We start from the raw sequence: 11,990 nt of genomic DNA, 5'->3' as shown, positions 1-11,990 counted from the left end.
GTGACGAACTAAATGTTAATTACCAAGACAATGGAGAAAATGTCTCCAGGAAATGTCAGAGACCTTTGTGACAGCCCCTCCCATCACAGGCCCAGAAACTTGGGAGGAAAAAATGGTTTTGCCATCTTGGCCTAAGGCCTCCCTGCTGTATGAAGCCCAGGGACTCAGTGCCCTGTGTTCCAGTCACTGTAGTCATGGCTAAAAGGGATCAAGGTACAGTTCAAGCTATGACTTCAGAGGATACAAACCCCAAAACTTGGCAGCTTCCACATGGTATTGAGACAGTGAGTGCACAGAAGTCAAGAATTGAGATATGGGAGCCTCCATCTAGATGTATGGAAATGCCTGGATGTCCAGGCAAAAGTTTGCTGCAGGGCAGGGCCCTCATGGAGAATCTCTGCTAGGGCAGTGCAGAAGGGAAATGTGGGGTTGAATCCCCCACACAGAGACCACAGTGGGGCACTGCCCAATGGAGCTTTGAGAAGAAGGCACCATTCTCCAGACCCTAGAATGGTAGATCCACTGACAGTTTGCACCATGCACCTGGAAAAGCTGCAGACAGCCTGTGAAAGCAGCAGGGAGGGGAGGCTGTATCCTGCAAAGCCACAGGAGTGAAGCTGCCCAAGATCATGGGAACCCATCTCTTGCATCAGCGTGACATGGATATGAGACATGGAGTCAAAGGAGATCATTTTGGAGCTTTAAGATATGGCTGCCCCACTGGATTTTGGGCTTGCATGGGCTTGTAGCTCCTTTGTTTTGGCCAATTTCCCCCATTTGGAATGGCTGTATTTATCCGATCCCTGTACCCCCATTGTATCTAGGAAATAACTAACTTGCTTTTGATTTTCCAGGCTGATAGGTGGAAGGGACTTGCCTTGTCTTAGATGAGGCTTTGGACTGTGTACTTTTCAGTTAATGACAAAATTATTTAAAACTCTGGGGGACTGTTGGGAAGGCATGATTGTTTTTGAAATGTGAGGACATGAAATTTGAGAAGGTCCAGAGGCTGAATGATATGGTTTGGCTCTGTGTCTCCACCAAATTCTCATCTTGAATTGTAGCTCACATAATTCCCACATGTTATAGGAGGGACCTAGTGGGAGATAATTGAATCAGGGTGACAGTTTCCCTCATACTGTTCTCATGATAGTTAATAAGTCTCACAAGATCTGATGGTTTTATAAGGGAAAACCCCTTTCACTTGGTTCTCATTCTCTCTATCGCCTGTCACTATGTAAGATGTGCCTTTCACCTTCTACCATGATTGTGAGGACTCCTCAGCCATGTGAAACTGTGAGTCCATTAAACTCTTTTTCTTTATAATTTACCCAGTCTTGGGTATGTCTTTTTTTTTTTTTTTTTTTTTTTTTTTTTGAGATGGAGTCTCACTCTATCACCCAGGCTGGAGTGCAGTGGTGCAATATCGGCTCGCTGCAACTTCCACCTCCTGGGTTCAAGCAATTCCCTGCCTCAGCCTCCCAAGTAGCTGGGATTACAGGCACCCACGACCACACCCAGCTAATTTTTGTATTTTTAGTAGAGATGGGGGTTCACCATCTTGCCAGGCTGGTCTTGAACTCCTGGCCTTGTGATCAACCTGCTTCAGACTCCCAAAGTGCTGGGATTACGTGCCTGAGCCATCATGCCCAGCCATTTATGTCTTTATCTTAATCAGCAGTGTCAAAGCAGACTAATGCAGAGAAAAGGCAATGGGTAGGGGGAGATTCCACACACTTTTAAACAAACAGTCCTCACATGACTTTACTTGCTATTGCAAGGATAGCACCAAGTCATTCATGAGGGATCTTCTCCCATGACCTAAACACCTCCCACCAAGCCCTTTCTCCAACATTGAGATTATGTTTCAACATGAGATTTGGAGGAGATGAACATTTAAAATATATCATTCTGCCCTGGCCCCTCAAATCACATGTCCTTTTCATATTGCAAAATACAATTTTTTTGTATTAATAGTCCACAAAAATATTAACTGATTCCAGCGTCAAGTCCAAAGTCATGAGTCTCATCTTCCATCTACAAGCTGTAAAATCAAAACAAGTTCTTTACTTCTAAGATACAACAGTAGTACAGGCATTGGGTAAACATTCCCTTTTCAAAAGGGGGAAATTGGCCAAAAGAAAGAGGCAATAGGCCCATGCAAGTTGGAAACCAGGCAGGGCATTCAGTATATCTTAAAGCTCCAAAATAATCTCATTTGACTCCATGTCCCACACCCAGGGCACACTGGTGAAAAGGATGGGTTTCCAAGGCCTTGGGCAGCTCTGTCCCTGTGGTTTGGCAGGGTGCAGCTCCCTTGGTTACTCTCATGGACTGGAGTTGAGTGCCTGCTGCTTTTCCAGGCAAAGGGTTCAGGCTGCTGATAGATCTACAATTCTGAGGTCAAGAGGGGTGGCCCCCTTTGCACAGTTCCACCAGGCAGTGCCCTAGTAGAGGTTGTCTGTGGGGGCTCTGTCCCTGTGCCAGGCTTCTGCCTGGGCACCCAGGCTTTCTGATACATTCTCTTAAATGTAGGTGGAAGCCGCCAAGTCATCTTCACTCTTGCCTGTAGGCTTAACACCACGTGGAGGCTACCAAGGCTTTCAGGCTTCCCCCTCTGGAGCAGTGGTCCCAGCTGTACCTGGGGCCTTTTGAGCCACAGCTGCAGCTGGAATAGCTGGTATGTGGGGAGCAGTGCTCTGAGGCTGAGCAAGGCAGCACTGTTCCAGGTCTGCCCCTGAAACCATTATTTCCTCCTAGGCCTCTGGGCCTGTGATGAGAGGGGCTGTCTGAAAGATCCTGAAATGCCCTTGAGGACTTTTTCCCATTGTCTTGACTATTAGCACTTGGCTCCCTTTCAGTCACGCTAATCTCTCTAGAAAGTTATTGCTCCACAGCCTGCTTGGATTCTTTCTCTACCACATGTCCAGGCTGCAAAATTTTCAAACTTGTATGCTCTGCTTTCCTTTTAAATATAAGTACCAACTTTAATTCCTTTGCTCTGATTTTAGGCTGCTAGAAGCAGCTAGGCCACATCTTGAATGCTTTGTAGCTTAGGAATTTCTTCCAGTAGATATTAAAACATGATTCTTAAGTTCAAACTTCCACAGATCCTTAGGACATGAACACAATGCAGCCAAGTTCTTTGCCAAGTTCTTTGCATGGGTGACATTTTTTCTAGTTCCTAATAACTTCCTTATTTCCATCTGAGACCTCATCAGTCTGGACATCACTGTCCATATTTCTATCAGTATTTTGTCACAACCATTTAACCAGTCTCTAAGAAATTTCAAACTTCCCTTCATCTTCCCCTTTTCTCCTGAGCCCTCCAAACTCTTTCAACCTCTGCCCATTGCCCAGTTTCAAAGTCACTTCTACACTTTCAGGTACCTTTATAGCAACACCCCACTCCTCAGTACCAATTTTCTGTGTTAGGCCATTCTTGTATTGCTATAAAGAAACACCCAAGGCTGGGTAATGTATAAAGAAAAGTGATAAGAATGGCTCACAGTTTTGTCTGCTATACGGTAAGCATGGCTCTAGCATCTGCTTTTGGTGAGGGACTCAGGAAACTTTCAATTATGGCAGAATGCAAAAGGAGCCACCTTGTCACATGGCAAGTGAGGGAGCAAGAGAGAGATCAAGGAGATGACACACACTTTTAAACAATCAGATCTCACTAGAACTTACTATTATGAGGACAGCATGAAGCCATTCATGAGGGATCTGTCCCCATGACCCAAACACCTCCCACCAGCTCCTACCTCCAACATTGAGGATTACATTTCCATATGATATTTGGAGAGTACAAACATACAAACTATATCACTCAGTCTCAGGTATTTTGTTATAGTCATACAAATGAACTTAATACAATGAATATAATTTTAATTTTGCAAGATAGAAAGAGCCCTGGTGATGAATTGTGGTGATGGTTGCTCAGTGATAATGAATGCACTTAATAGCACTGAACTATATACTTAAAAATTGTTAAGATGGTAAATTTTATTTTATATGTACTTCATAATTTAAAATGTTGGAAAAGCAAGATTCCCTTTAAACATTCAGTCAAACATCCCCCTATGCAAGATAACTATAATCTCTATATGTCTGTCTCTTCCAAATGGAACTATAGACTCACTGACAGGCCCCAGGACAGGGCTTTAAGTCTGCATCTCTTCAGTCAAGGAGTAGAAAAAAATGCATCTTAGTCTGAATGCCAATTTGGCAGAATAGCCACCCCCTTATCTCTGAATCTTGGGCTCTCATGGCCCTTTCAGAAGTGAAAACAATGATGGAAGGGGTTCCTGTGAGCAAGTGAACATGAGAGAACCTTCATGAGGCACCAGGGACATGAAGACTGGAACTCAATATTTCAGTATTAATGTGTAGATGAGAATTCCAAATGATAAAATAAGGGAGCAAAAATAGAAACAAGTCTCACATAAGACCAGTTAGCATGGACAACTTTTCAGAACTCAGCTGTAGACATTCCTCCTCCTTGAGCAGACAGAAAATTCAAAATGTTGGTGACATCAAAAAGAAACTAAATCTCTCTCAAATGGATTTAATGGGTATTTTTAATGCATAATTACTCCCACCAGTCTCATCTCAGCCAGGTGGGGTTTTCTCTTTCATTTGATTTATCAATACTATCATTTGTTAGAAGTTCTCAAACCAGCATCTATTACTCTTCCTAGAAGACTCACTAAAAGGCTGCTTATCAAGCCTCCAAGGCATAAGCTTTCAAAGGGAAGAAAAATGATCTATTTAATTCTTTTAGTCTAGGAGCATGTATAAACATGCACTTGATTAGTGTTTTATGTTGCAATTCATGGTCATGGTTGACATTTCATTTATAAATCTAACCTGAGAGAGCTGGTTCCAAGATGCCCAAGGCTAATCTGGAAACATATGTGTTTCTCTGGTGGAAATGGTAGTGGTGCCGAGGGGTACTTAGAATGTAAGAAATTTTGGGACTGTTTTCAAGCGACTTAAACATCTGAATTCAGTACTTCCGGAAGACACTGAAGGCCTCTAGAATGCAGCCTCCTTTCGTACCTTGAAAAAGAGTTTCCTCATTCTCCTTGTTTGCAAGAAATCATTTCCTAACAAAGCCACTCAGAATTAGGGTCCAGCTCTCATTAAGAACTCTTTTAAAAGTGATACTTTTAGAAGACCTGTACTGCACTTGGCTCACCACCAGACAGCACTGCAGAGAGGCTGGCCTTCATTAGTGCTGCCCAACTTAATACCAAGTTTCTAGTTGCAAAGAAGCCTGCCCTGGGACAAGAGAGGGTTCAGGGTCCTAATGGACTATCAAGTCTTCCAGCATAAGTCACTATTTACAAATAAAAAGGCAGACTTCTACTAGCCAATTAAAACTGGGTTAAAATTTCTCCTGAATAAGCAAAGAGACTGCCAACAGCCAAATATTTAAGCCAATTACCAAAATCCTAAATCATAATAGACTCTCAGAGTCCTGACCCTAAGTGTGTAGCCTCCGGAAGAAGAGAAATAAAGTTAAGCACTTTGAACTAATCATTTTTAATCTCACTAGACTGAAAGACATATATCCGGCATCCAGTTATTGGCAATGGCATATGACATTTCAAAAGTTAATGAACAAGAAGGATTGGAAGAAAGAATTGAAGTTGTATTTACAATGTGCTTATACATCAAAGTAAATTTGAGTAAGGGGCATAGCCGTTTTGTCTAGTTTCTCCTAGCCCAGCCACCTGTTTAACCCCACATCATCCTTATGGTGACTGATATTTTCGCAGCTTGCAATTGAAAGAGACAGTAAATAAAGATATAATAAAAACAGGGTGAGTCTACCAGCCATGAGAAGTATTTTTGTAATAAAATAATTTGTAAAAATTCCATTTATTAGCATAAACCAAATCAGATCCTTCTTTCTTTCCTTCTGTTATGAGTTGAATTGTGTACCATCCCAAATCCATATGTTGAAGTCCTAACCCCCAATACCTCAGAATGTGACTGTATTTGGAGATAGGGTATTTAATGGCCCTAATCCAATATAATTGATGTCCTTTTAAAGAGGAGTTTAAGGACAGGTGCGGTGGCTCACATCTGTAATCCCAGCACTTTGGGAGGCTGAGGTGTGTGGATCACTGGGTCAGGTGTTCGAGGCCAGCCTGTCCAAGATGGTGAGACCCCCATCTCTACTAAAAATACAAAACTTATCCAGGTGCAGTGGTGGGCACCTGTAATCCCAGCTACTCAGGAGGCTGAGGCAGGAGAATTGCTTGAACCCGGGAGGCAGAGATTGCAGTGAGCTGGGATCATGCCACTGCACTCTAGCCTGGGCAACAGAGCAAGACTCTATCTCAAAAAAAAAAAGAGGCATTTTAGGCAAAAATAGTTCCATTTGAGGATGCAGTGAGAAGGCAACCATCTGCAAGCCAATGTGAAAAGTCTCAGGAGAAAGCAAACCTGCCAACACCTTGATATTGGACTTCCAGCCTCCAGAACTGTGAGCAAATACACTTTTGTTGTTTAAGCCATTGTATTTTGTTATGGCAGCTTTAGCAGACTAATATACCTTATTTGTTTCTTTTCAATAGATTCATCGTTCTAACGATTCATCATACTAAACCATTCATACACACACACACACACACACACACACACACATACACACACACACAGTCATATTCTGCATAATGGCATTTTGGTCAATGATGAATCACGTTTATAACAGTGGGCCCATAAGATTATAATAGAGCTGAAAAATTTCTGTCACCTTGTGTTGTTGCAGCTGTAGTAACATCTAGTATGACACATTACTGACATGTTCATGGTAATGTTGGTGCAAGCAAACCTACTGCGCTGCCAGTTATATAAATGTATAACACAATCAATTATGTGCAGTACATAATACTTGGTAATTATAATAAATAACTAGGTTACCAGTTTATGCATTTGCTATACTATACTTCTATAGTTCTTTTAAAGTGTACTACTTCTACTTACATATTTTAAAAATTGACTGTAAAAAGCCTCAGGCAAGTCCTTTTGGAGCTTATTCCAGAAGAAAGCATTGTTATAAGAGATGATAGCTCTTTGCATGTTCTTGTCCCTGATGACCTTCCAGTGAAGCAAATTGTGGAGGTGGAAAACAGTGATATTGATGATCCTGACCCTGCATAGCCTAGGCTAATATGTATGTTTATGTCTTTGTTTTCAACAAAACAATATAAAAAGTAAATATATATACACATATAATTTACATATGTATATGATTTTAAAAATTGAAAAAAACTTGTAGGTAAGGACATAAAGAAAGAAAACATTTTTGTATACCTGTATAATGTGTCTGTGTTTTAAGCTAAGTGTTATTACAAAAGAGTCAAAATGTTAAAAATTAAAAGCTTGTGAATTAAATACGTTAAAATTAAGCTAGAGTTATTAAAGAAATAAAAATATGTTTAATAGACTTAGTGTAGACTAAGTGTATAATGTTTATAAAGTCTACAGTAGTGTATACAGTAATGTCCTAGGATTTCACATTCACTCACCATTCTCTCACTGACTCACCCAGACCCAGTTCCAGTCCTGGAAGCTCCATTCATGGTAAGTGTCTTATACAGGTGCTTATATATACAATGCCCTAGGTATCTTTTATACCATAATTTTACTGTACCTTTTCTATGTTTAGTTATATTGAGATACACAAATAAAGTCAGCCTTCTCTATCCATGTGTTTCACATATGTGGATTCAACTATGAAAATCAAAAATATTCCAAAAGTAAAGGATGGTTGTGTCTGTACTGAACATGTACAGACTCTTACTGTTGTTATTCCCTAAACAATAGGTTATTACAACTATTTACAGACTATTTACATTGTGTTAGGTATTATAAGTAATCTGGAAATGATTTAACGTATATTGCAGGATAGGGGTAGGTTCTATGCAAACACAACACCATTTTATATTAGTGACTTGAGCATCTGTGGATTGTGGTATCTATGGGAGGTCCTGAAACCAATCCCCTATGGAGGGACAACTGTATTTACCATTGTGTTACAGCTGCCTATAGTATTCAGTACAATAACATGCTATACAGGTTTGTAACCTAGGAGCAATAGGCTATACCATAGAGCCTCTGTGTGTAGCAGGCTGTATTACCTGTATGTGTAAGTACACTTTATGATGTTAACACAATGAAAAATCACCTATCAACACATTTCTCAGAACTAATCCCTGTTTTTAAGTGACACATGCCTGCGTATATATTTGACATGTATATGATTCAATCTAACTGCAGGATTTTCTCCTTAAAATGTTTTTTTTTTAAATTTGCTGATAGCTAAAAAGATTTAAACAAACTTTCCAGATTTGAAACTCATGTTTCTATGACAGTCGTGAAGGAACTAAGATATTACTCCTCTTGCAAGCTAAGAAATTAGCCTACTACAATATCATAGATACTGGCAGAAGACACAAAACTCCTGAGTGAGAGACAAAGCATTTATTATCACAGGACAGCAGGTGGGAGGAGCCTTATATGCACATTGTTTCCTCTTGCCTTCAAAGTTTAATGAGGGTTACATGAGAAGGTTATAACCCCAGATGAATGCTGTATACACACGGGGTCCTCATCACAACTGAGGAGCCCAAGCTTAGAACACTTTTATTTGTCCCAGAGTGAAACATTATCTTTATTATATTGGACAGTAAACAAACCCACCTTCCCTTCTGGAAGGAGACGCTATGTCTATCTTCCAAGGCTATTATATAAAATCTGCCCTCCACATCCACAGATTCAGCCAACCACAGATCACAATTATTCAGAAGAAATAATAAAAATGACATCACAGCAATAAAAAATAATACAAACTAAGAAACAACACAGTATAACAGCTATCTACATAGCATTTATTTGTATTAAGTATTAGAAATAATCTAGAGATGATTTAAAGTATCCAGGAGGATATACATAGGTTTTGGCAAATACGCTGCCATTTATTTATTTATTTATTTATTTATTTATTTATTTATTTATATAAGATGGAGTCCTGCTCTGTTACCCAGGCTGCAGTGCAGTGGCATGATCTTGGCTCACTGCAGCCTCACCTCCTGGGCTCAAGTGATCCTCCTGCCTCAGCCTCCTAAGTAGCTGGGATTATCTGCATGCACCACCATGTCCAGCTAAGTTTTGTATTTTTAGTAGAGATGGTGTTGCACCATGTTGGCTAGGTTGGTCTCGAACTGCTGACCTCAAGTAATCCACCCACCTCAGCCTCCCAAAGTGCTGGGATTACAGGCATGAGCCACCATGCCCAGACTGCCATTTTATGTAAGAGACTTGAACATTTGTGGCTTTTGGTATACATGGTGTGGGGGTCCTGGAAACCCACGAATATCTAGGGGCAACTGAACAGATATCATCCTTGAAAAAATAGTCTGGAACAAAGGTAGTAAGTGTCTCTGCTCAAAGAAATACAAAAGGAACCCATGGAGAATTGCTCCCAACAATCATTTTAAGGAATAGTTTATTTGCTATATATATATTAACCATCTAAAAAATTTTAGAAGCTCAATTTGTGAAAGTTTATTTTAAAGAAAAGACTTGGGTCATCATAAGTTAGCAGAGCCACAAATTAGTAGCAGATTGGCTGGACAAACAAGATTACATAATTTGCTTTGTCTCTGGAAAATAATATTTTTAACTTTCTTTAACTGCATGTTTAAAAAATTTCCCTATGAATAAAAAATGCACTGTTTCAAAGAGATTTATACATCTCTATTGTAAGGGAGAATTTTCTCTTAAAGCTAAAGTTTGAGAAAAATAATGATTCAATGCTGCTAAATGTCTCTCTTTCTTAGGAACATTGTCTTCACTTGGTTACCAGGACAACCAGCTCTCACCTGGATTTACTTTTGCTGCTCTGGCTGCTTGTTCTCAGTTTCCTGGGTGGTTCCTGCCCTTCACCCTGACTTCCTACCTTTAGAGTGGCCCAGGGCTTAGTTCTGGACCTCTTCCCTTCTCTATTTACCTTACTTTCTTGGTGCTTCTCCACCCTCTTGTGCTGTTGTTTTATGCCTCTGGCCTAGCTTGCTCTTCTGTCCAGACTTACATGTTCCACTGTCCAACTGCCTACAGAACAACTCCCTTTGATGTCTAAGAGATATCTTAAACTTGAAATGTCCAAAGCTGAACTTCTGATTGTCACCTAATTTTTTCCATACACAGCATTCTCATCTCAGTCAGTGGCAACTCCAGCCTTCTGGTTGCTCAGGCCTCAAAACTTGGAGTCATCCTTGTCTTCTCACTTTCTTTCACATCCTATATCTGGTCCATCAACAAACCAGTCTTTTCTTTCTCTGGAATATATCCGGAATCTACTTCTTACCTCATCTACTGCAACTACTTCAGCACAAACCAGCTTAAGTTGTTATCTTCTCTCACGAGGATTAATACAAAAGCATCCTTGCTGACCTCCCTGCTTCCACCCTCATCTCTTAGTGTCTGCTCTCTACACAGTTAGCTGTCCTGATCCTGTTAAAATATAAGCCAGATCATGTCTCCCCTCTGTTAAAAACCTTCCAGAGGATTCGATTCCAACATCCCTTAGAACACATAGTCTATAAAACCCTGGATGACCTGACCTCCCATTATCTTCCTAGCCAAATCTGCTACAATTGTCTCTTATATTCCCTCGGCTCCAGCTACACTGGCCTCTTTCACATCATCATTGATACTAGACATGATCTCCCCTGAGGACTTTTACACCAGCTATTCTCTCTCCCTGGAGCCCTCTTCCTCCACATGGTTACTCCATCTCCTTCGCCTCCTTCTAGTTGTTTAACGATGGCATGAGATGAGGCTACCCCATTGGTCTAATATAGACTGCAACTGCTGCCTTCACACCACCACTGAATCTCCCACTCTGCTCAATTTCCTTCCACAGCATATATCCCCTTCTAATATACTATAAAATGTACTTATTTATTATGACCGTATATTATACTATATAATTATTATACTATGTAATTATCATTAGTATATAATATTATGGCTATACATTATACTATATAATTTATGTATTTATTATAACTTTTGTTTATTGTCTGTCTCCCCCAGCTAAAATGTAAATTCCATCATGGTGAGGAGTTTTTCTGTTGTTTATATATAGCACCAGTAACTAGAACACTTCCTGGAACATACAAGTGAACACAGAGGTACACAAAAAATATGAACAAATTTATTAGCTTCCACATTTGATGAACTAAGAAATTAACTACCTATATAACAATTAATGTTATACTTTTAATATAATTTTATGGCCGAACAATTTTCACATGTAAGCACATACGCAAAAGATATTTTCAAAAATGTGAATAGACTTAAATGAGAAGATAAACGTTGTCGTCTTTTTCATATTAAAAAGATTTGAAATATATATATTTCAAATATACATTAGGGGAATTGATAACTAAACTGTCATATGTCCCTTTGATATAGGAATTGAAACTATATTTACAAAGATTGATACATAATAAAACTGTAAAAAACTAGAATAAAATATAATATTGTTTTCAAATTTCTGTATGAAAAAGTTTGTCCTAAATTATAAACCAAAGAAAGAAACTAGAAGGAAAAAATTCAATGGAATTTATTACATAAAATTGATATTTTTTCTATGAAAAGAACATTTAAAATACATATTTTAAAAACAAACACTGAAAAAAATCAACAACTGGGAAAAGTATTTGCTCTAAATATCACAAAGAACTGTATCCATAGAACATTTCTGTCTTTATCTGTTTATATTGGTAATATTTAACAGAGAGAACCACTCCCTCCTTGAAGCATTTATTGGCTTGGCTAGGAGGACATTGTTCTCTTGGTAGTCTTCCTACCTCACCAGCTATTTGTTCTTAATCTCCTTTGCTGGTTCCTTTTCACCTCCCCTACTTCTGAATTTTGGAAAGCCCCAAGACTCAGTCCTGTAGGTTTTT

The sequence above is a fragment of the Homo sapiens genome, chromosome 6, assembly GCF_000001405.40.
Source record: "Homo sapiens chromosome 6, GRCh38.p14 Primary Assembly".
Taxonomy (NCBI): Eukaryota; Metazoa; Chordata; class Mammalia; order Primates; family Hominidae; genus Homo; species Homo sapiens.
This window is presented reverse-complemented; position numbering follows the sequence as displayed.